Source organism: Homo sapiens, chromosome 3, assembly GCF_000001405.40.
Source record: "Homo sapiens chromosome 3, GRCh38.p14 Primary Assembly".
NCBI lineage: Eukaryota > Metazoa > Chordata > Mammalia > Primates > Hominidae > Homo > Homo sapiens.
This window is the reverse complement of record NC_000003.12, coordinates 62,746,902-62,773,543: the sequence shown is the minus strand read 5'-3', so window position 1 is coordinate 62,773,543 and position 26,642 is coordinate 62,746,902. Positions and strand designations below refer to the sequence as shown.

Below are 26,642 nucleotides of genomic sequence, written 5' to 3'. Positions count from 1 at the left end.
TGAGTAGTTGAATTTTGGGAAACCATGTTCCAAAGGGAAGTCTAGGATAACAGCCTCATCGTAATTCTCCCCACCTTCAATATGTTTTTCCCCCTTCAACTTGCATTTCAGAATTACTCATTTATATTTTGCCGTGATAAAGTCTGTCAGATTTTTTCTTCAAGCTAAATAAAAGTCACTTAAAATGCCTTTTTCAGAGTATGTTACATAAATATACATATATAATATAAAAGGTGAGAAGAACTTTATGTAAATAAGTAAATATTTGGTTAAGATGATGTGATTTCTAAATTTTCTAAAAGCAGGACTTCCTTTAGAGTAGAAAATATTTAGTCTGGTTGTAGAAAGGGCATATTTTATTTATTAATAAAATTCATGGCCCAATATAAATTTTTGAAGTCTTCAAAAAAAAGAAATTAAATAAACATTGCCCTAATCTCTCTAGATTAGCTGATGATTTTTAAACACTTGTTGAGTTGACTTTTTTTCCAGTTATCTATAATAAAGAAAAGCTTTAAAAACCTGTCCCTTTTTTCCCAGATAATGATTTCTTTTTTAAAAAGAAAAAGCATGGCTTATATTAAAAATTGCAATATACAATGCTGACATTATACTTTAAGTAGAAAAGGACCTAATTTATGTGTATAACTGGAACATCTCTATACACCCAAAGATATTTTTCTACTCACTGCTGCCTATGCTTAGAATGCTGCTATTTGAGGTTCCTTCTTTTACAATAAGCATTGCTTCTCCCTTCTTTCTGATACAGTTGCTGTTGCAATAGGACACATATTAACCAATAAGCATCTTAGTAAGTATGCCTTCTTCCATGACTATTGTAAACCAAGTGTATCCATTAGGAATGCATCTGGCTGCCAGTAAGAGAAAACATACAGTGACTTGAACAAGTAGAAATATATTTATTTTTTCTCACATAATGAAAAAACCAGAGATGGGTGTTTACAAACATTTGTTCAGCCACCCAAAAAATGTAAGGACCACATTTCTGCGATGCTCTTAGCCTTTCCTGGATGGTCATGAGATAGATACCATGGCTATAGACAATAGATTTGTATTCTCAGCAGAAGAAGGGGCAGCAGGAAAGAAAAGGATTATACCACCAAGTATGTTCATTTTCATGAGGATTTCGAATATTTCTCCAGAAGATGCCCCCAGTAGTTTTCTGCATCTGTTACATGGCCACCCATAATAGCAAGCGAAACTGGGAAGGGAGTAATTGGCTTTCCAGCCTCTAAACTAGAAGGGCCAAGAAAGAATGAGGTAAGGAATACCACATCAGTGATACCTTCAAAAGGCTGAGTAAATAAAAAAAGCATTGAAAGAAGATAAAAGATAAATGATAGGGAAAAAAATAATACTTCCTGTATTGTTTTTATTATTGAGTCCTTACTCTATGCCAGATACTATGCTATATATTATTACATGTATTATAAATATATATATTATACGTATATTATCCCACCTAGTTTTCACAAAGACTCTGTAAAGTAGATATTGCTTTCCCCTATTTACAGAGGAAAAACCCAAAACCAGTTACTTGACCAAGGTCTCATAGCAAAGCTAGCATGTGACTTGAGCTTGCTCTGACTTCAGCATTGCCTCTCCTGAGACCGACACTTAGAACATGCCGTTTTCTCCTCACTGCAGATCACATTTCACACTTCTCCAGAATGCTTCAGTAAATTACAAACTGCCTGAAATGCAGTGGGAATTTTCAGGCCTTGGTTAATGAGGTAGACGGAACCAAGAATGCTTGAATAGTTCTAGCAAACGCTGCTGCAGCACTGTCTTCTACAATAATCACCTTCCATCTTTTCAGGTTTTCTGCTTGGAATTCATTACTGCAATTCTGAATTCTGACCTTGATGTACAAGTGGTTTCTATGCATATTAAATGCTTTTAGATGGACTTCTATTTTAGGAGGATTCTCTCTCTAAGCGGCTCATCAAAGCCCATTTGTTTGTTTAGAGTTGTACTGTCAGCTACTCTGGGCCAATTATTTCAGTTTATTCGTGCAAGGTCACCTTTTGGGTTCAATCCTATATAAGTCAGTTAACTTTTAACCAGATACAAACTCTGTCCCACAGTTGATTCTTAGACTGGCTTTTGCAAGCTTCTAAGTAAGATTTTCATTCACTCATGCAGTTGGCAAAGGGTGTTAAGAAGTCAAAGATGAGTATGCGATTTCTGACTCAATTGTGAGAAATTCGAGAGCTAAGATTGTGCCTTGATACTGTTATATCGCCAGAGCCTAACACTGTGCCTGGTATACATTAAGCCCTTAATAGGCTCATGTATTCACTCAGCAAACATTCGTTGAGAGCTCACTGTGTGCACAGCAGCAAATGAGACATATGTGTATAGCTATAAACAAGAAGTACAACAGTAAACAAGACAGATATGGTCCTTGTACTTGTGAAACATATATTCTTGTAGAGAGATAGATAATGAAAAGTAGGTATAATTTTAAAATAAAGAAGGCCCTAATATGCATCATAGGAAAATGGATAAATTGTGGTATACCTGTAAAATGGGATACTACCCAGCAGTGAGAAGGGACCAGCTATTGCTACTCCTAACCACAGGGATGAATCTCATCATGTATGATCGTATTGACACCAAGTTCAAAAACAGGCAACACTCATCTGTGATAATAGAAGTCAGGCTGGTGGTCACTTTTGGAGGGAGCAATGACTTTGGGAATATCCAGGAGCTTCTGGGGTCTGGGTAATGTTGTTTATCTTGATACGAAAGTTTGTTATCTGGAAAAGTTTAGTTTGTGAGAATCTCTTATACCGATTGGGCATGACGGCTCACGCTTATAATCCCAGCACTTTGGGAGGCCAAGGCAGGTGGATCACTTGAGGCCAGGAGTTCAAGACCAGCCTGATCAACATGGCAAAACCCCATCTTTACTAAAAATACAAAAATTAGCTGGGCGTGCTGGTGCTTGCCTGTAATCCCAGCTACTCAGGAGGCTGAGACAGGAGAATCACTTGAACCTAGGAGGCGGAGTTTGCAGTGGGCTGACATGGCACCACTGCACTCCAGCCTGGGCAACAGAGCAAGACTCTGTCTCAAAAAACAAACAAACAAACAAAAAAGGAATTCCTCATATTCTGTGCTGATAAAGTATATTTTTCTGGGTACATGTTATAATTAAATAATTTTACCTTAGAGAAGATAAGGGCTAACTGTGATAATGACTGTGCAGGAAATGCTCAGGTTGCAGGGCACTGTGACAGAGATTATCTGGGAGAACTTTACTGTAGATGGAATGGTCAGGGAAGAGCTTCCCAGGAGATGCTGGCTTGGCTGAATCCTAAGGGGCCAACCATGGGGAAAACCAGAAGAGCATCCCTGGTAAAGGGAACAGCAAGAGCAAAGGCTCTCAGGCAAGAAAAGTCGGGGCACAGCTGAGAAGTAAAAAAGACACCAGTGTGCTGGAGACCAGAGTAAGTAAAGAGCAAAGTGGAGCAAGTCAAAGTCAGGGTACGTCATGCAGAGCCTTGGAGCCCATTGAGTTTATCATTTGGCTCTTTTATGCCAGGCCATGTGCTAAGATCTTGAGGTATGTTACCCCATTTCCTTTTCATCTTTTTAGCAACTTTGGGAAGTCAGTTTTATCATCCAAATTTTTTAATGAGGAACCAAGGCTTAGGGAAAGTAGGTTGCCTAAGGTCATGCAGCCTGGAAGTGAGTGGTATCACCAGGACTTGAACCTGTGTCTCTTGGACCCCAAGCCTGTGCGCTCAACTCCTGACTCATGATTCTGCCCCTGAGCACTTGAGTTTAAATAAATAACTACTTCGCCACATAAAACATGCACCCATAGGACTGTGAACAAAATGCTGAGAAAACAGCGACCTCCACCTGGGGAGTCTGGAAGGGAGCACATGCACTAAATTTAAAGATGTGTACATGTGAAATGTCCCCAGAGGCAGGCATTCTCAAGGGAATAGTATGTGCAAACACTCAAAGATGAGAATTAGGGTGGCCACAGTGGTTCACGCCTGTAATTCCAGCACTTTGGGAGGCCGAGGCAGGTGGATCACCTGAAGTCAGGAGTTCGAGACCAGCCTGGCCAACATGGTGAAACCTCATCTCTACTAAAAATACAAAAATTAGCCAGCTGTAGAGGCACACACCCATAGTCCCAGCTACTTGGGAAGCTGAGGCACGAGAATCACTTGAACCCAGGAGGTGGAGGTTGCAGTGAGCCGAGATCACACCACTGCACTCCAGCCTGGGCAACAGTGAGACTCTGTTTTTTTGTTTGTTTTAAAAAAAAAAAAAGATGAGAATTAATCATCACAGTAGCTAAGATGTATTGAGCATTCATCCTGTGCTAAGTTCTGCAGTGAGTATTTTGCTTATCTTAATCCTCACAACAACCCTATGAGGTCAGTATTGGCCCCATTTTACAAATGAGAAAACTGAGCTTTAGAGAGGTTAGTCATTTGCCCAGGGAGACATGGCTAGTGAGTTGAGTAAATAAACACTAGGCTTGTTGAATTAGCGGTGAGAAAAGTAGTGAATTGTAAACCAGTAGGTGGCAAAACCCAGACATAAGCAAAGTTCTGCCGCTGAAGTCCATGCCCCCAACTCTCCTTCTGAGAGCTTAATGTGACTAGGAAAGCAAGGGATGCTTTGTGTGGCTTTGCGGTGTGTGTTCTCTGAACTTGATTAAAATTAATGTTCCTGAAGTTCCTTAGCTCCTTTCTCCTTTGAGAGTTTTATATTCTGTAATTTCTCTTCTCTGAAATCCTGAATCATAATTTAATGTGCTTTTTTGTTTGCCTTTTCCTCTCCACCTAGACTATAAGATCCCTGAAGAAAAGCCCTTATTTCTTTTGATTCCTTAGTGCCCAGCCCTAAGAAGTAACAGGTGAGATCAGGGGTTGAGTGTGTTGACCACTGAACCCGTAGTGTCTGGTGCAGGGCTGGGCAGAGTGTGGGTGATCTATAAATATTTCTTAACTAAATGAGCACCATGCTTATTTAAGGAAAGGTTAGACAGATAATAGATTTGGCCTGGGTCAACAATCAATCTTGATCATTCATATGGTATGTGCATAATTTTATTTCAATTAATCATTTAAGACAAAAGCGAGGTCTATAGGCCTCCATTCCTCTCCTGCCCCATCATCCCACCCCACTCCCAAAATCACGCAAAGCTGGTATTCACACTGTTTTAGAAGGAATTCTGAGCAAGAAATCCTGTGAGATGCCTTGGTTGGTCCTATACTGTTAGGATTTGTGAACTAGATTAAAGCTGGCCTGCTTAAAATAAATGTATGTTACGGGTATCATTTTTATGAGCAAATCAACTGCTACCTAATATTTCAGTTCAAATGGTTTCAAGCACATAAAAAATAACTGTGATTTTCTCTTCAATTTCACATATCAATATGTGCTCTGCTCCATGGGTCAGAGCAGGAAAGCTTAAGCAACTTAGAAGTGAGTTTATTCCATGCTTTAGGTCTGAACTGGTCCAGTGCAATAGCCACTAGCCACATGTGGCTGTTGAACTCCTGCAGTTTGGTTACTCTGAATTGAGATATGTTGTACGGGTAAACTACACCAGATTCCAAAGGCATAGCATTTTTTAAACGTAAACTGTCTCATTAATAATTTAAATACTGATTACATGTTGAAACGTTATTTTGGCTATATTGGGTTAAGTAAAGTATATCAAAATTCATTTCACTTGTTTCTATTTTTTTAATGTGGCTACTATAAAACTTAAAATTATACATGTGGCTAACATTGAATAGTGGTGCCCTAGAATGTAACAAATATGAGTCTGATAAATTTCTAACCCCTTTTAATCTACCCTTGACTTCACTATTCCCCAACTTCTTCCAAAGATACAAAAATTAATGAAAGCACCCAGCTTCCATCTGTGTCACAAACAAAATTCTGTTTTGTTTTTGTTTCTTGACTGAGTCAAAACTCATGCTGGCTTTGTGTCTCCTAAAGCTTTAAACTTTATTTTCTAATTATATTGACTCTAACAGTAAAATCACTTGGATTTATATAAAAACTTTTAATTTTTTAAAAGAACTCGTTATGTTATTGAATAGCTATAACTATCCCAGGACAATGGGTAATTAGAATTACCACCATTTTCCAAGTGAGAAAACTAAGGACGAGATAAAATTTATTTAAACCCAGCCCTGATCCAGAAAGGCTGGCTCTTCACTCTCAGGTCAATGCAGAATATAAGTCGCTTTTTCCAGATGACACAGTGGCCAACAGAACTGCTACTGGACTGGTCTTACTTTTTCCACTAGAACAGTGGTTCACAGAGGTAGTTTCTCATGATCTATTATAAAGCATAACTTTTTACAAAAAGTTTAACTTTTCACAAAAATTTAACTTTTTTAAGTTAAAAGTTTTTAACTTTTAAAACAGCAAAGTTTTGGCTGACTTGTTAATATACATATTTTATATAAATTAGAACCAATGAAAAGATACCTGAAAATAACATGTCTTGCATACACTCCATTCATTCATTCATGTAATCAGCCCTGAGTGTCTGGCACATATAAGGCAGTTAGCTATGCCCTGGGAAAACTTCGATGAATAAGATAGCAAGAAAAGACACCGCATGTAACAAATTTAATCATCATCAAGCAGTTAAACAAACACTGTGCTGTGGAATCACATAGCAGGAAGACCTGCCCCTAACCTAGGGGCTGGGAAGGACTTCATAAATTAGTGCTGCCTGCATTGATACCTGATGGATGGCATGATAGAGCCAGATAAGGGGTGAGGAGGAAGAATGAGTAGGAATCTTTTAGGAAAGTTTTCCTAAGAAAGAAAGGTGGGATTGATAGGCAAGGAATTGTACATAACCTAGTACCCAAATTCTCTATGCCACATCCCAGAAGTATATCCTGTACCCAAACATCATCTGTCATGTGATCATGGATGTACCAACAACAATAAAGTTTGAAAACCCCTGCATATGGTCATACTGCATTCATCAAGGTATTTCAGACCACCAGAGGGGCATGTGCAGTGCTGTGTTTGCTGTTACATGTTTAACAACCATTTCTCAGGAGGGGAAAAAAAAACTGTTTTGTAGCATTTGCCAATTTCCATGGTCTAAATATTCCCACCTTGGCTGACATGAAGCTGCCACTGAGACAACACTGAATGTGGAGCTGGGAAGAGATGGGTGGTAGCACTCCCTTATATAGAATTTCCCTCATGCAAATACCATAGGTGTAAGTAACCTCAAAAGCACTGATGAAAGTGAAATGTGGTAAAATAACTAGGAGGCAATGAATTTTAAGTATTAAAAGTGTATTAACTTTGTTTTTAATATAATTTATTTATATATTATTTTAAAATAATGGCTGTGTTTAACACTGGCTCACAGAAGTTTCCACAGATTCACTAATCAGCTGTCACACACCTATACAAGCCAGCTCCAATACACCAATGGGTCTGGCATCTTCAGCATAAAGTATCCATGATCCTTGTCTAGGACAAGTTCTCACATTTCCCTCTTTTTCTGTTTCTTACAGATCAGCAAACAGCAGCTGCAGACAGTCAAGGACCGGTTTCAGGCTTTCCTCAATGGGGAAACCCAGATCATGGCTGACGAAGCCTTCATGAACGCTGTGCAGAGTTACTATGAGGTGAGAATCACTGTTCAGAAGAATGCCAAGACCACTCAAGCCCTATGCCTGGGGAGTCTGAGCTGCAGGGCAATGGGGACAGTCGTTTTGGTTTACTACAGTATCATCCTTCCTAAGGCAAATGGGTTGGTGATTCGTTACAATGTTAAGAAATAACAGTATTTTGTTTTAGGGAAAACTAAATGTAAGCTACTATTTAACAACGGAATTTTATACCAGGCAATATACTGAGTGTTTTTCATACAACATATAACAGTCTTATGAATTAGGTCTGATTGTATTTCCATTTTACTGATGAAGAGGCTGAGGCTCAGATAGGTTAAATTAATTACTCAAGGTCACACAGCTATGAAAAATCACAACCTGTGACTTTGAGTCAGGAGCATTTTTCTCACCACTTACACCATTTTAAAAGGATGTTAGCACCTCCCAAGGATGGTGGCTTCATGAACTTCCTTATTCTTTTTTTAAAAATGCTGCTTTCTTTTCTGGAGCTGGAACCACTGTCCAAAATGCAGTGCTGTTCTCTAGAGAAAATCTACAAAAGAGAGAATATGTTCTGAGTATGTATTACAGGTAAATTTTCACCACCAGACCTCAGAAGCTTATCAGTAAAGTGGATTTGTATTTCTGCAAATATTTTTAAATTTTGTTAAGTGTTCTATCTCAGTGTGCATATTGGCTATTATTTCTACATGATTATGAAGTGGACATGCCATACCTTCCTATTGGCAATGCTTTCCTCATATGCACATTTTCAAATATGATTATTTGGTCACTGAGTGACATTTTACTTTATATTAATCTATTTTAATGTGAACCAGGTAAATACTCTCTGTGTTTGGAATCCTATGCCCCAAATGTCTTATGCATTGTCAAGGTTAGATGACAACCATTAGAGACCAGCTCCTAGGCACTGAAAGCTTATGATATGCTGCTATATACAATTCACAGTAATAATGGTAAACTTGAAGATAGGTATAAGAAAAATGTAACAAAATCTGATTTTCCCCTGGGATTGTTTCATTGATTTCCTTCCTTCCTTGTTTCCTTTATTTATTAGATAGAAAATTATTTCAAAACAAAAATGTTGGTGTGCCTGCTTTGCTGGTGCTCTAAGCACGTACTTAGTCTGCCCATCTGATTCAGCCCACAACAGATGCTTTCAATATGTTAATTGATTGAAGCCTCGGTAGAGGCAAAATCCTGATATGGCAAAACTCTTCTTCCCACTTGCTAAAGCACTTGACTCCTTCCTTCATGGAGAGAGTAAGACTGCAATTAGATCTTGTGAAAATATTATTGATTGGTTTGCTAATTAGCATTTAATAGTAAACAATCTTTGTGATGTTCGCTGGGACCAACCACAGACTCCTTTTACACCATTTTCTTCAAGAAATTTTTATTTGGATCTATTTTAGAAGTCAAATTTGTTTTTATAGTTGTCCAAATTTAAATCTTTTAAAATTTTACAAGTATCATTCATTATCGCCAATGAGTGTCAAACTTGCTGCTTTATCTTATGTGGTACAGTTTTTTGGCTGAATTTCATGGGGAGTAGAAATGAGATTTGGAATCACAGTGATATATGATAGTGAATAACTTGAATATATTTAACTAAGGTTTTGTTTAGAAACTGCCTGGGAATGAAATTAATTTTCCCTCTTTGTTCAAGTTCTGGAAGCCAATGGGAGAGTAATGGCAGAACCCTTGTCAGGCCAAGCAGACCCCTATCCATAGTTCTCCATATTTAGAGTCATTCACCAGAGTTTATAAATTTATAGGTTGCAAATCTTAATTAGAAAGCTCATTTGACTAATGGCATAAATTAAAAGAAAGTGTCATTTCTATCTATTAATTAAATGTGAAAATTAATAGTCATCAAGGTGCTAATGAGTCTCTGGAAATTACCATTACATCTACAGTGATCCCAATGTTTTCCTCTGTAGTGGCTAGTTTATTGGAAACAGTTTCATTTTTTGTCTGGTAAGAATACAGGCATTGAGAAATTACTGAATATTTAATGTTAGCATTTGAGTAACATAAGAAAGGATGTGGGGTATTAATGATCTAACTGCTGTCTTCATTAGTAAATACTTTGGAGAGTCTTAGATTCACTTTTCCAGGGAAGTCTAATCCTCTAAAGTGAAGTTTCTGTATCAGGAGATCAGGGTTAACACTTTACTTGGGAGCTCTCCAAGTTGATTACACCTTCCTTTCTCCTTTCCCCTTCATCCTTGGGCTATGGAGAAGCTGATGTCTCTTCCTGTACCCAACTCTGGGTTCCAATTGCTTCTCTGTTGGCCCCTGTCTTAGTCAGGACTCTATGGATTATAAGTGACCGATACCTAGGTCATACTGGATAACCCTAAAAAAGAGATTTATTTCCTCAATTAACTTAAAAGTCCAGGAGTAGGCCTGGCTTCAGCCATGGCTGGATCCAGAGGCTCCAAAGTTACCAGCGGGATGGGTATCTTCCCCCCACCTCTCGACTGTACTCATCCCTGTGTTGACTTCCTTCTTGGTCAGCTTCTCTCCATGTGGAAGACCTTGACAGCCCCAGGGCACATCCTACCAGTTTAGCACCTCCAGGAGCAAAGAGAACACCCCTGCTGAGCTCCCTAGCAAAGACATGGGGTGACTTTGTTGGACTGACATGGATCATATGTCCCTTCTTGAGTCAGTCACAGTGGATGGGGGTGAAATAGACTGGGGGGTTAAGGCTTAGGACAGCCACCATCTCTGGCACCTGAGTACAGGCTCAGCTGCACTGGAACCATTTTCAGGAAGAATGTAATGGTTTCTTAATAAACCGTTAGGCTGCTTTTTACCAAAACGGGGAATATATGCTCAGCAGACAAAACCAACAGATATCCTCCTTCCAAATTCCCTCTCTTTCACATTCACACACACTCCACCCTACCATGCCACAACTTCACACTCCAGTTTACCAACAGCAATAACGTTAAAAAATAGTGTAACAGCAATAATCTCAAAATGTTCTGGGATTTCTGTACTTTAAAAAGTCAGTTTTAGATATCGGTCTTGTTTTGCTAATGCATATATTCATTACTCAGTATCCGCAGAGCATTAGTTCCAGGGCTTCCTCAAATACAAAATCCTCAGACGCTCAAGTCCCTGATATAAAATAGCATAGTGTTTGCATATAACCTATGCACATCCTCCCATATACCTTTTTTTTTTTTTTTTTTTTGAGTCCGGGTTTCCTTTCTGTTACCCAGGCTGGAGTGCAGTCATATAATCACAGCTCACTGCAGCCTCAACCTCCCTGGCTAAAGTGATCCTCCCTCCTCAGCCTCCCATATAGTTGGACTGCAGGTGCATGCCACCATGCCAGACTAATTTTTGTATTTTTTGTAGAGAGAGGGTTTTGCTATGTTGCCCAGGCTGCTCTTGAACTCCTGGGCTCAAGTGATCCACCCGCATTGGCCCCCCAAAATGCTGGGATTACCAGCATGAGCCACCACACCTGGCCTTCTCCCATATACATTAAATCATCTCTAGATTACTCATAAAAACTAATACAATGTAAATGTTATGTTAATTGTTGTCATACTATATTGGTTTTATTTATATTACTTTTTATTGTTATTTCTTATTTTTTATATTTTGTATCTGTAGTTGGCTGAATGCATGAATGTGGAACCTGTGGATACAGAGGGCCAACTGCTGAATTGATCTCTCAGCATGCTAGAGTAGTAAAGATCATCTTTTAATAAATGAAAGGAGAGAGGAGGTGCTATTCCTTTTCCATCTGTGCCCATCCAGCCCAGTCTGAACCAAGCTAGTCACCATTAACAACAAGTTGGTGAGGCCTGGGCCATGAGTGGGGATGGGAGAAAGGAGACCAAGGTCCCCATGGTTCTCAAGAGCACACAGGTTTATTTTTGTCCTTTCCTGATGGCCCTGATTGTCAGAGCGGATCAAGCAGGGCAACAGATTAATCCATTAATCTCTTCAATTCTGGCTTTCAGGGCCAAGGGCTGGGGGCTGGGATGGGTGCTCTGAGATCTGGCCCAGCAATTCTGTCTGGTTCTCACACCCCTGGTCCTGAGATATGGCATCAGAGAGCCATTTCTCTGTGTTCCTCACACCTTTTCTAACTATTTTTAAGAAAAATGTCCAAAATATAAGCCCTCCCTTGCTCTCTCCCTCCCTCCTCACACTCACCTCCTCATGCTCACCTCCTCACCTCCCTGCTTGATTTTAGTTTCTTCACATGCTGGTCCTGGCATCAGAGAAAATAGGTGGATAAAAAAGTTTTACAAAACTCAAATTCTTCCTGGAAGTGAACATGGGGGTATTTGCAAGAAAATGGGAGTGTCATATGTGGCAGAAGACATAAAAATTCATTTCAGAACACTGCATCTGATGTCTGAACTTCAGCCAGTGAAGCTCCTATAATTGAGCTTTGTTTGGGGTGTGTGAGTGTTGTTTTTTTGTTGTTGTTGTTATTTTTTTGTTTGTTTGTATTGTTTTGGTTTTGTTTTTTAATAAATGCCTAGTTCATTTTTGTCACACTAGCTTTGAATGTTGCAACAGACAGACTTCTTTAGTTGCTAGCAACAGAAACCGACTGTGATTAAATTAAGCCCTAATCATCATCATCATCATAACAACAGCAGAAGCAACAACAACAACAATAGTTTGCTGTTGTTGCCAGTATTGTTGTTGTTATCAGAAGAAACAGCTAAGCTTCAGAAAAGAAGGAAACCAGACCAGTTTAACTTCAGGAAGCCAGATAGTAAGATATAACAGACACTTAATAATTGGGATAAACCTACTCTAGCCCAGTCCATTCTCATGCCAACCCACTCGGAATGTGAACTCAAGAAGTGGCAGTCTTACTGACCAAGCTCAGATCCCAACCCACCACTTGGCTAAAGAAGGACAAAGTCCTACAATTGACAATCCCACTGCAACTATGTAATGAGAAAGGGGTTCTTGGAAGAAAGACTGAGGTACTATTATCAGAAGAGGAAGAACAGTTGGCAGGCTAAAACTGCAGGTTTCATCTATGCAAGAAGACGTTTAGTTATTATGGTTGAACTTTTTTTATTTAAGAGGAGTATAAATCAGGTCACACTGGCTATTTTTCTAAAATGAAGCAATATATTTTCTAATAAGTAGAATGGCTACAACTATTCCATGGTACCTGAGATACCATGATAAACAGGTACATCCATAGGGGAAGAATAACTACCCACTCTAAAGCATTGATTCTTGCAGGGAAAGCCCAGCAAGGAGGAGGCAGGAGGTGGCAGGCAGAGTGATTAAGAGGATGAGTTTAGTGTCCAAGGCCAGGTGCAGTTCACATCTGTAATCCCAGTACTTTATGAGGCTGAGGAACCTCAGCCTCTTGGGGCCAGAGGTTCAAGGCTGCAGTGAGCTGCACCACTGCACTCCAGCCTGGGTGACAGAATGAGACCCTGTCTCTAAATAAATTAAAAATAAAAATTGTGTCCGACAGAGGTGGGTTGAGTTCTAGTCCTGTTACACACTGACTCTGGGACCTCAGCTATGTCTGAGCCTTAGTTGCTTCATCTTTAATAGGACCTTCCTTGCCTAATTGCTCTCAAGACTAAATGAGAATATATATACCTGGACAGTTCCATTATTAATATATTAAGGTTAGAATATATTAATATATTAAGGTTAGAAATGAGCATGGTGGTATGGTGTCCATATGCTGCATAGAAATAGAAGAAGAGAGTTGAAAGTTGATAGAATCAATTCACTCCCTGGGCATGGAGGAAGGGAGGTGCAAGATGGAGCAGGGGAAAAGGGCATAGAAAAGAAAAGGGAAAGTACTTTTGCTCCTAATCTAGCACCACCTACCACAAGGTCATGGCCCAAGATCTGCTTCTGAAACTTTGCCCAGAATCCTTTACTTTTTGGTGAAGAAGATTTTTAAGATTTGAAAATACATTTTATTTTAGAAATGAAAATGCACCTTGCCTCAAAGAAGGTAAAATTTGTATTTTTCCAGGTAGAAAAGATGTGTTTCAAATGACCGTGAAAGTAAAACATGCCCACTATAAAAATAAAACAGACAATGTAGAAAAATCTCTGCATTTACATGGTTAAAAAATACTTGCAATCCCATCATCCTAGATAACCAAAATTAAACTTTGGTTTCTATCTTTCCAGGTACTTTCAATGTATCTATGCATGTCAAGATAACTATTTGGCTTGCATATTAAGGTGGGAAATTACCACAAACTATTAAGGACCCACTTCTTTTATTTAACACAGTTGTTTTCAGTCTCCTTCCTACCTTTCCAAAGGTCACACAAATGGCATACTCTCATCAGTAAACTGTCTTATTTCCTATGGTATTCTAAATCCAGAGCCATGTTCCTATCCTCCAATCCCACCTCACCCCTGCCATTGGAAGGCTCTGGTCCATTATAACCATATATCATGGACATCTTTGGATGGTAATGAAAAAATATATATCTTTTTTCATGGCTGCATGATATTCTATTTAAAAATAACAGCTAACTTGTATTACATTCTTAGCCGAATAGTAGGCAACAGGCTAACCAACTTGCAGGCATAATATCACTGAATCAGGATTCAGGGATCACCAAAATCCTACAAAGGAAGGTTGTTATAACTCCCATCTTAAAGGTGAGGAAATTAAAGCCCAGGAAGATTAAGTAACTTGCTCAGGTGGCAAAGCTAGCAAGCAACAGAGCCAGGATTTGAACCCAGGTGTTCTAATACCAGGGCCCATCCTCCTAACCATGATGTCTACCCCTTTCATTATTTATGTGCCCATTTATTAATAGCAACGAGGTGTGTGTTTCTTGCAAACCTTACTTACTCCAACATCTAGATGTTTTTCTTATTTATATTGAAAGGATATGCTTTTTCAGAACAGGAATGAATCTGCTGTGGCTTCTCAGCTTATCAGCTAGCAAATGGGAGCTAGGCCAACCTCATCTGTAATGTGAACAGTCACTAAGTACTGATGTGTTTGTATGTTTCTAAAATGACCTTGAGGTTGCTTGGCTCTGGTGATGGAGGGAAGGACTGATGGATGAGGTCGAGTTGCTGAATTGACTGTCCTTCACAATTCCATATTTATTTGTTTATCTTCCATCTCTCATTATGACCTGTCTGGAAGTTGGCAGAAAAGCAGGGAGGATTTATGGATGTGCCCAGATAGAACTGGGCTTGGGGTTAAAGTCTCTTGTGGCAGCCACTAAAAAGCAAAAACAGAAACAAACACGGATACAAAATACAGACAGAGCTCCCAGCACAATTGAGTTTGAATAGTTGTTTTAGAGACACACAGGCACATCAGTACTTAGTGTTTGTATTCATTATAGGGTGAGGCTGGCCCAGGCCCCACTTCCTCTTTGTCAGACTGAGAAGCCAAGACAGATGATGTGCCTGTAGAAATAGTTTCCTGCTGCCACCTTCTCTCCTCATGGCTGTCTTGTCTCCATTGGGCAATTCATCTTTACTGTCTCCCCAGTCTTTGGCCTCTTTCCTCCATGTTCTTATCATTCCACTCATCTCTCCTCTTTCTGGGATCTGGCAGTTGTATCTTAACACAGGACAGATAGATCCCTCCACTTTTCAAAGTCTTCTCAGTTTGATCCTCAGCAAAGAAGAAAGGCTGGATTCCTTCATTGTTTACCATGAAGGAGAGTGAGACTGATGGAGGTTAGGTGACTTGTCTTCCACTGGTAATTCAGAAGTATTTATTGAGTAGCTACTATGTACAAAGGAAGGGGCTAGTGAAGCAGATGCTATGCCCAGGATTCAGGGTTCACCTGATATGGTTTGGCTTTGTCCCCACTCAAATCTCATCTTGAATTGTAGCTCCCATAATTCCCACGTGTCATGGGGGTACCCAGTGAGAGGTAATTGAATCATGGGAGCAGGTCTTTCCCATGCTGTTCTCTTGATAGTGAATAAGTCTCAAGATATCTGATGGTTTTATAAAGGCGAGTTCCCATGCACATGCTCTCTTGCCTGCTGCCATGCCACATAAGACGTGCCTTTGCTCCTCCCTTGACTTCCACCATGATTGTGAGGCCTCCCCAGCCATGTGGAACTGTGAATCCATTAAATCTCTTTCCTTCACAAATTACCCAGTCTTGGGTATGTCTTTATTAGCTGCGTGAGAACAGACTAATACATCACTCAACCAGTTACACCAGCTGGGACCCAAGTGCCAACATCTTTATTTCTTACCCCTTGTTATCAGGCCCCATGGAAAATCTAGCCTAAGTCTCTTGTTTTAAGAGACCAATATACCGTGTGCTGGTTTCCCGTTGACCTTCTCGCCCCAATCCAGACATAGTCTCGCTCCATATTTTTCCTGCTAGAGGAGTCTGCTTTGCTCTTATAGTTCATTCACTCATTCCACAAATATTTACTGAGCACCAGCTACATGCCAGGCACTGTCTCAGGCACTAAGAAGCAGTAATAGAAACAAACAACGACTACCCTGCCTCCCTGGAACTTATAGTCTAGCTGGAGATCAGATATTTACCAAACAGTCACAAAAACAGTGGCAGATGGCAGCTGTGGAAGGGCTTTAGGAAAAAAGAATCTGGGGCTGAGAGCTTATAACTGAGGCCCATTTCGGGTTTGTGGGATACTAATGTGCATAGATGTAGAGGAGAATATAGCTTCATTGTTGATTGAATGTTTTCAAGTCACCCCTTATGTTTATTAGCACTGACAACAAAGGCTTAACCCCTTAGTGTCCCCACTGCCATCACACTCACCCGGTCTCGTACAAGCACCTCTCAACTGGCCTCCCTGCCTATTTTCTTGGCTCCCTTCATCAGTCTCTTTTCCACATTAAAGCCAAAGAATGTGAACTGGTTTGTGCCGTGTCCCAGCTTAAAACTTTCAATGGCTTTCCAATGCCCTTAAAATGAAGACCAACAACCCTAATCCCCTCCTCCTCCTGAATACCTCCTCCTTCTCAATGCCTCCCTGGACTCTCTGGCCCCTCCCTGCCCATCTTACATCTGTCACCCCCAGCCCTCATTGCCACAGCCACACTGACTCCTCCTTATTTCTTCAGGCACTTGGGGTCTTCACACGTATTGTTCCTTCTCTCTAAAATAAATTACAGCTCTCCATTCACCTATCCATCTTTCATGCATCATCTCAAAGGTGTTTTCTTTCAGGAAGGCTTTCTTGACCACATATTAGAATAGATTCCTAGCTATAGGTTCTTGTGGACCCTTGTCTTGATAGCACTTGTTCCAGATCGTAATCATATTTGCATGGCATTATTAGGATTATGTCAGTTGGACTCCATGAGAGCTAAATCTGTGTCTTCCTCACCGTTGTATTCCTGACACCTGGTACAGTGTCTTCCACCTAGAGAGTAACCAAAGAAAGGATGAATGGGTTCATGGAAAAGTTTATAATCATTACAGTTAAAAGGATAGCCCCAAACCTTATTGTTCAATTCCTTTGGTGTATGGATAAGAAATTGGAGAATCAGGCCAGGCATGGTGGCTCACGCCTGTAATCCCAACTCTTTGGGAAGCCCAGGCGGGTGTATCACTTGAGGTCAGGAATTGGAGACCAGCCTGGCCTACATGGAGAAACCCCGTCACTACTACTAAAAACATAATAATGATACAAAAATTAGCTGGGGATGGTGGCAGATGCCTGTAATCCCATCTACTTGGGAGTCTGAGGCAGGAGAATCGCTTGAACCCAGGAGGCAGAGGTTGAGTGAGCCAAGATCGCACCACTGTACTTCAGCCTGGGCAACAAAGTGAGATTCTGTCTCAAAAAAAAAAAAAAGAAAAAGAAAAAGAAATTAGAGAATCAGAGAGGGGAGATGATTTACTCAAGGTCACACAGCAAGTTAGAGGCAGACCTGGCCTGAGATCATGAGTTACAGCTCCTGCCACAATGCTCCATTGCCTTTCCAGAGACTTCCTCCACTAGCCTCAAAACACTGGTATTTGAGATCTATAATGTGTTGGTTAGATGGAGAAACCATCCCCATTAAGTGTTACAGGTTTGCAGATGAATTATTTAGCTCATTAAGGCTCATAAGGCCTGAGGATTCATTTGAAACTATTTTGTCTATAATTAATTTTCAAATTAACTCTAAGGTCTCATCTGAGTACCAGTTCCCACTCATAAGGAAGCAGGCCATGGCCTCTACCCTGTGAGGCAAACCCTCAGCCATCCTTTCTAAATTAGTTCATTAAAGTCAACAATAAACCGGAGCCTTTTTAAAAAAAAACATCTCTCCACCCCAGAAACGCTTTGTGATGAAGCATGAGGCAATGAGATGCCCCCAGGCAGTGCTGTCTCATGGCCAACAAGTGCATTTCCTGAAATCTGACAGGGGAATGAACATTTGCTCTGCCTCTTGAAGGATATTTATGCACCTTCTGAAGTGTGACCAGGACGCAGCTCAAACGTGTCAGATGCTTCCTCTCCGTGAATATGAAGCGGCGGCTTCACTGCCTTGTATTACACCCCAGAACCATGTAGCTCATGTAAGCTTCCGAATGGTGGGCAGTGGAGCAAAAATAAGACTTTCTTAATAGAAGAAGTCTTGGTCCCAGGACTCAACCAGGTAGCACCAGCAGACCAACCAGGGATTTTCCACCAGGGGGGAGAGGTTTTCATCAAGCAGGAGAACCCTGCAGGGAAGGAAGGAACCCGGGTGAAGTAAAAAGACTACCCATTGGTAGTCAGACAATTTGAGCTACCAAAAGGAAGTCCCTTCCCCTCTCTGAAGTCTCAGTTTTTCATCTACAAAATAAACTTAACCTAACACCTATATTCATTGTTAATTCACTTTTAAAGTGTCAGGTGCTGAAGACATTCTAGGACCTGAAGACATTGTGAGGAACAAGAAGGACACGTTCCTTGCCCAAGTAGAGTTTACATTTCAGGAAGGAAGAGAGAAAATTAAATATATGTTTACCTGATACTTGTATACTTTCAATTAAAAGTATCATTGAAGGGATAAAAGGAGGTACAAATAGTGGTTAATGTTTAATGCTATGTGCCTGATATCATGCCAGGCACTTTACATATAATAATAATAACAGCAACAAGTGTAACATGGGCCAGGCACTATTTTATGTGTGTTTTACACATTAACACATTTAATCCTCATTTTAAAATACATACTGGCCTAGGCAACACAGCAAGACCCTGTCTCTACAAAAAGTTTAAAAAATTATCGAGGCATATTGGCACACACCTATAGTCCCAGTTACTTGAGGGGCTGAGGCAGGAGGATGGCTTGAGCCCAGGAGTTTGAGGCTGCAGTGCATCGTGATCACTACTGAAGTCTGGCTTACATAACAGAGCAAAGTCCTGCCTCTATTTAAAATAAAAAATTAAATTCTGGGTGCATTGACTCATGCCTGTAATCCCAGCACTTTTGGAGGCCGAGGTGGATGGGTTGCTTGAGCCCAAGAGTTTGAGACCAGCCTGGGCAACATGGTGAAACCCTGTATGTACCAAAAATACAAAATAAATAAATAAATAAATAAATAGCCAGGTGTGGTGGCATGCACTTAGTCCCAGCTACTCAGGAGGCTGAAGCTGGAGGTCGCTTGAGCCTGGGAGGTGGAGGTTACAGTGAGCTGTGATTGTCACTATAGTCCAGCCTAGGTGACAGAGCAAGACTATCTCAAAAAGAAATTAAACATTAAATAAATACTATTATCCCCATTTTATAAATGGAAACACTGAGGTACAAAGAGGTTAACTTGCCCAAAGTCCCACAGCCACTAAGGGGCAGAGAACCTATGCAGCCCGGGCACAGGTCTGTATACCATGTGCTGCCTCTCATGATAGTATCATCTCATTTAATCCTTGCACCAACCTGGTAAGTACAATTGTTATTCTCATCTTACAGATGTGGACACAGAAGCAGAATGTGTAAGAGACTACTCTGAGTTTGCACAGCCAGGAGGTGGTGGGGCAGGGTGAGACCCACAGTGGTTCCTCCTGGGATGCACGTGAGGTGGACTGGCCCAGTGTCCAGCCCCAGGGAACTGGTACCTCTGTGGTAAACTCTCCTACTGTCTTTCCTGGCCTTGTTCTTGCTCAGGTGTTCCTGAAGAGCGACCGTGTGGCCCGCATGGTTCAGAGTGGAGGCTGTTCCGCCAACGACTCCCGGGAGGTCTTCAAGAAGCACATTGAGAAGAGAGTGCGCAGCCTGCCTGAGATTGACGGCCTCAGCAAGGAGACTGTGCTGAGCTCCTGGATGGCCAAATTTGATGCCATCTACCGTGGAGAAGAGGACCCGCGGAAGCAGCAGGCCCGGATGACAGCCAGCGCAGCCTCCGAGCTGATTCTGAGCAAGGAGCAACTCTATGAGATGTTCCAGAACATTCTTGGGATCAAGAAGTTCGAACATCAGCTCCTTTACAATGCCTGCCAGGTAAGGTGTTTCTCGCCTGGGCCTAGAGCTGTGGGTAAGCAGAGCTGCATTCCAACTTCTATGAGATACTTCTTGATTTTTTTAAAAAAAGGATTAAAACTTATATTTTATTACTCTACTGGTAAAAAGTTGAATACAGTTTAGGCTGGAGTATATTCATGCTTTTCTTCTGATTTAAAAAATAAATAAATAAAACATTTTTATGAGCCCTTAAAAGTCTCAGGGGCCCTAGGCATTGAGCTCATTGTGTCTAATGGGTAAGTTGGCCCTATGAGTAAGGCTTGTTTTCCACGTGTCAAAAGTGCTAAAAATCAATTTTTTAAAAAATATGGTTCTGCCTTTGGTGTTTGCCAGTTGAAGGGCTTGTGCTTCCTCAGCTGGGAAGACTACTGAACTTAGCACCTGCCTGTCAAGAATAATTTTTTAAAATGGAAAGCTTGCAAAAGGCCCGATACCTGTATATTAGTCACATCATGAATTTCTGAGTGGTTCTGATGGCGAGAGCTGAGGCTCTGCTTGGGTCCACCCCAAAATGGGCTTGTATTTCCTCTAGATGGAGGATTAGGGAAGCGAGGTATCTCATATCTTGATATCCTGCCTAAGCTTAGCATTATATTCATTTATTCAACAAATATTTATTACGTGCCTATTTTGCAGTCTGAAATTCTTACTGGATGTCTCTTAGGAGCAATTTAAAAATGCACATTCCCAGCTGCTAGCCCTAGAGATTCTCATTCTGCAGCCTCAGAGCATGGCCCAGGAATCTGCATTTTAAACAAGGACCTTCCTTCCTGGTAATTATGTTGCCCTTCACCTTCAAAGAACTATCAGAGAGATTCATCTTTGCCTTGTTTGCTAATATTCCCAGTATATAAAATCTTGGCACAGAGTGAATGCTCAGTAAATGTTTATCGAATTAATAAATGGATAATGGAAAATTATTTTAACTAGTAGGTAGGGTCTTATCAACTATGATATATCACCTTGAATTTTCTGGATGTTTTAGTAAGAGTCTGTTTAGCATTTCATAATACAACACATGCATCACATTCAAAGATATTGCTGGTATCTACTTTCATCTCATCCAACTTTAATTGAAAACATTGATTACAAATCTGGAGATGAAAGGTTTTTTGTGATGGGTCAAAAAGTATTTTGAAATTTCACATATCAATATAAAATTAAATTTAATCATTATTTTATTTAAAATATTACTACATCCCACCATGTAGCAGTTTTAGAATGGGATAAGCAGGTGGCGTTAGCCTCCACCACCACTATCACCTCCACCAGCATTTCCACCACAAGAAGGTGTCATAGCTTCAATATTGAAAAATCATCCACCTGAGTTATAAGCAAGATTCAGAATTACAGAGAGAGTCAAGTGTTCCTAAACCTTCTAGGTACAAAATTATTCTAGGGATTAATTTTTCTTCTTATTGCAACAGCTTATGCATATTTTCTGTGCTTGCTCAAACTCAGCTTCATTGGAGTGAATCCATTGTTATGCCATTTCTTGTCTTATCTCAGTGTTTTTGCACTTGTTGAATTGAGTGGCAGGATCATATTTTACTGTTTTCTCCTAAAAAATGAATTAATCCGACTCATTTTACCCTCAAAATCTTTTTTGCGAAATAGAAAAAAGTACAGTAATATTAAAGAATATCTTCTCTCTCCAGAATAAAGATTGTACTCTTAGCCAAAAAAGAATTACAAGATAGGCCAGGCACGGTGGCTCATGCCTGTAATCTCAGCACTTTGGGAGGCTAAGACGGGTGGATTACCTGAGGTCAGGAGTTCAAGACCAGCCTGGCCAACATGGTGAAACTGTCTCTACTAAAAATACAAAAATTAGCCAGGCATGATGGAGGATGCCTGTAATCCCAGCTACTAGGGAGGCTGAGGCAGGAGAATTGCTTGAACCTGAGATCACACCACTGCATTCCACCCTGGGCAACAGAACGAGACTCCATCTCCAACAAAAAAAAATTACAAGATAAAGTACTTCTTCTTGGGACAGGGATACTTAAGACATTTAGTATTTTACTCTCTATTCATATCTAAATCTGATTATTGTTTCAGGGTTTCATATCAATAGAAATTAGGGCAAAAGAACATATGAAAGTAATTTATACATACAAAAATACACATGAATTCTAAATATATGGTTTTTTGATTTCTATGTCTTTAGTAATCTAAGTTTCAGGAGTGTATTGGCAAACAAAAGTATTTTAAAAGAAAGAAAATATTGGTCATGATAATATTTCACAACATATAATACCCATTTCTATGACAATATAGAGATGGCTATTCTCTAAACTTACTGTGGCAATAAATTCTTAGTGTAGCCTTTCTGCAATCTGTTAGTTTGCAGCAGAAAACCTTCATAATGGGAAAACCTTTTGACCTAGGAGCTCTACCTTTAGGAATTCATTACAAGTAGATACGCAGAAGTGTGTGCAAGAGTGTTAAGTCCAAAGATGTTCACTGCAGCCTTTTATATGATAGTGAAAAAATGGAAGCATGCTTAATTCCCAGCAGTATAGGATTAATTAATTAGATTTTGATTTAACCATACAAGGGAATTTTCTTTATCCAATAGAACAGCAATAAAAGAGTTGTTAAAGAAGAAGGCTTGCCATGTGGGAAAATGTTCCTTAGATATTGCTAAGTGGAGAATCTGGCTATGAAGCACAATATGCAGGCACAGTCCCATTTCTATGGGAACAAAGGATGGAAAAAGGTACTGGACAGGCAAAGAACAAAATGTTAACTGTGCTTATCTCTAAAGGATAGGATTATGGTTGATTTTTATGATTTTCATTTGTGCTTTTTTATGTCTCCAAATTTCTACCTTAAACACAGTTATTCTGTAAATGAAAACAAATACCAAAAGTCTCAACAAAGAAACCATCAAAACAATGGGATATGAAGAAAGTTATCTTCTGAATTGTTTTCTAGACTTCAGGCGTTAACATACCACCTTCATAATCTTTGCCATTTCCGAGTACTACCTGGATGATTATTTAATGTTTCTTATTAAACTAACTCTCAAATTCACCTTTTTTTTTTTTTTTTTTTTTTTTTGGAGCTTAAGAGTCTCACTCTGTCACTCAGGGTAGAGTGCAGTGGCACAAGCTTAGCTCACTGCAACCTCCACCTCCCAGGTTCAAGCAATTCTCATGCCTCAGCCTCCTGAGTAGCTGGGATTACAGGCACGTGCCACCATGCCTGGCTAATTTTTGTATTTTTAGTAGAGGTGGGTTTTTCCATGTTGGCCAGGCTGGTTTCAAACTCTGGACCTCAGGTGACCCACCCACCTCGGCCTCCCAAAGTGCTGGGATTATAGGCATGAGCCACCGTGCCTGGCCCCAAGTTCACTTTTTAAACCTGTCTTTATCTTAGGTAATGTACATAAAATCACAGCTTTGATATATTCTTTTTACAAAAAAATAATATGCATTAAAGTGAAACCCAACTATTAAAATAGAAACTCTTCATTGGCTGGCCCTCTTAGATCATCTCACACCACAGTGATGCAGAAGACACGGTGGCAGTAGACAGTGCCCTGACGCACTGAGGCTGGTGGGACAGAGCTCTCTGACTCCATCCCTGAAAATAGCCTCAGACTGACCACAGCAGCTTTCATATGAAGTCTGCATAGGCAGGTAGCAAAGCAGAGATTTAATTTACCTCCCTCCTCTTTCCTTGCTGGCAGGCTGTATGTAGACAGGCAGCAAAGATAGTATACCTGTCATGCCTTACCATCAGGTGTCTGAAATTATACATTTACTCACTTTCTGGCAGACTACACTCAGCTCTGCACAACTCTTATCAACTCACAGTAGCAAGAATACAGAAATGATATTGTATCACTTTCATCCTCACTCTGCTGAAATTGTTTCCTGTTTAATTTTGTATTTTCTGGACCTTCTTCTCCTTACCAAACAAAGCAATTTCTAGGTGCTTCCCAAACCCAAAATGTGCTTAATGTTTTCCTCTTACGCATATCGTATCCTAGGGGAAGCTGTAATCTGATTTCTGCTGCTGCTTTGTGAAAGTTCCCATGCTCTCTCTTTATGAGGTTCTGCCAGTAACTGCCATTTTTATCTCAAATGAGAAATGACATTTATCAAAGAGCGATTATGTCAGTTACATATCAGTTATCTGTTGTAACATGAACCATGTCTATCAAAAGATAAGAGAAAAGCAAGAGAGTTTAACAAATGTCTCTGAATTTGCCCACGGAGTTTCTTAACATCTATTCTGTTTGTTTGAGAATTAGTGGATAAATCTCATAGAAGAAATTCATACTCAACATAATATCCAAAGTAAAATGGCAAATTTTATTATGAATCAGTGTTGGTTTTATTTTTCATAGACCCTTGGGAAGATGCAGTCAATTATGTAGCTATTTGAGTTGAATTCTAAAGGTAACTCAAAAAAAGTAAGGTAGGCTGAGCACACAGCTCCATTCCAGCACTTTGGGACACCAAGATGGGAAGGTCATGTGAGTCCAAGGGTTTTAGACCAGCCTAGGCTCCATCTCTACAAGAAATTTAAAAACTAGCTGGGTGTGGTGGCATGCACCCATAGTCCCAGCTACTCAGGAGGCTGAGGTGGGAGGATCACTTGAGCCTGGGAAGTCAGGGCTACAGTGAGCCATGATCTCACCACTGCACCCTAGCCTGGGTGACAGAGTGAGACTCTGTCTCAAAAAAAATTTTTAAGTGAGATAATTTGAGAATAGGTTTTATTATCTGAGAAATGAGGCTAAGACAGACCTGCTTTCCATCTTCATGAAATGCAAAGCTGACAGCGATGATGATGATGACGATATGATATTTAAAAACATTTTCAAGATGCACCATCTCTCCCCTTTCCCTTTAGTAACCTTCAAATTTGGCGTAAATTTGATTCTCAGTTGTACCAGCTGTCTGCTACTTTCTACTCCTCTGCTTAACTTTATAAGTTATCCTTAACTATCTCATTCAAAACTGTGCGGATATTTTCCCTTGAAAAATACCTCAAATGTGCATTTTAGAAGGAGTAAGGTCTACATCTTAATTTTTTTTTTTTTTTTTTTTTTTTTTTTTGAGACGGAGTCTCGCTTCTCGCCCAGGCTGGAGTGCAGTGGCGCAATCTCGGCTCACTGCAAGCTCCGCCTCCCGGGTTCACGCCATTCTCCTGCCTCAGCCTCCTGAGTAGCTGGGACTACAGGTGCCTGCCACCATGCCCGGCTAATTTTTTTTTTTTTTTTTTTTTTTTTTTTGTAATTTTAGTAGAGACGGGGTTTCACCGAGTTAGCCAGGATGGATGGTCTCAATCTCCTGACCTTGTGATCCGCCCGCCTCAGCCTCCCAAAGTACTGGGATTACAGGTGTAAGCCGCCACGCCCGGCCATCTTCATGTATTTTTAAAGGCAAATAGACTCTTCTTAGTGAAGCAATCCAGCTAATTTTGAAGATGTGGTGAATATGAGCTAAGGATGTCAGTTGTATCTCGATGTTTCCATTCTGCTCTTTGAAAATGCCATTTCTGGTTTTTCTCTTACTGATCACACTCTTCCCTTCTAAACTAAGTGCAGCATGACTCTAAACTTCTCCTTGGCCATTACATGTGCCCAACTGGCAGCAGGGATAACATCCACACTCCAACTAATAGGATAAGACGATAATCTGTTCATTTATTCTCTCTGAATTTCTAGAGGTTTTTCAGATAAGTCTGGAAGGAAGAAGAAAGAAATCAGGAAACTTGATTTCTCAATTTATAAACACCTTTGCATTTTCAATATTGGATTCTCTATCATTATTGAACTGCTAATTTTCTTAACATTCAATTTCCTTTCCTCCAAACCATCATCAGCATGGCCTTTGATGATGTGGTTATCTTATTACAGCACTATCTTCCTTGAACTTGATGAACACATGGCAGCTTTTCAGATAGTTTATTAGACTCTGAAGAGAAACCTCAAATTATCAGGCCTTCAGCTGTGACCCAGATTGCTGGGTTGTATCCATACCTCATTACAGAGCCCTTAATCTCCATATAACTACATAGCTTTTTCCTTGTCCAGAAGTTTCCGGTAGGTCTGTTGACTGAACATTTGCTTTGGGGGCCAGACTCTATTTCTTCATCTCTTTTCTTGATCCTGTAACAACAATATAGTTCTTCGCATGAGTGATCTTTCACTGAATATCTACAGAAGAAATGTTTTAAAATCTGGAGATGGGAAGTAGTGACGGAAGGCTAATATTAAACCCTTTTATTTAGAAGCATACTTTCATCATTCATTCAACAGATTTTAGCATCTACTTTGCACTAGGCATCATGTGTTGTATGCTGAGGATACAGCCTAAACTTTCTTACTTTGTCATACAATGGCCCATGATGTGGCTCCTGACTAATTGTCCTCTTTGTTCACTACACACCTCTCAATGACTTTATAGTTGTCCTGCTTAGATTATTGTTTTTGTTGTCTTGGCCGTGTAACAGATTGCCACAAATTTAGCAGCTTAAAAGAATGCCCACTTATTATC

General features: G+C 40.1%; 1 protein-coding gene across 51 annotated transcripts in view; it reads left to right on the top strand.

Moving 5' to 3' along the window:
• Positions 1-26,642, top strand: part of CADPS (calcium dependent secretion activator) — a 477,069-nt gene that overhangs the window by 101,873 nt on the left and 348,554 nt on the right. For all 51 annotated transcript variants that reach the window (NM_183393.3, NM_001438352.1, XM_011534199.3 and 48 more), the window contains exons 2-3: positions 7,560-7,673; positions 19,771-20,103. In NM_183393.3, the coding sequence (NP_899630.1) occupies positions 7,560-7,673; positions 19,771-20,103 (447 nt within the window). The remainder of the gene's footprint in view (positions 1-7,559; positions 7,674-19,770; positions 20,104-26,642) is intronic.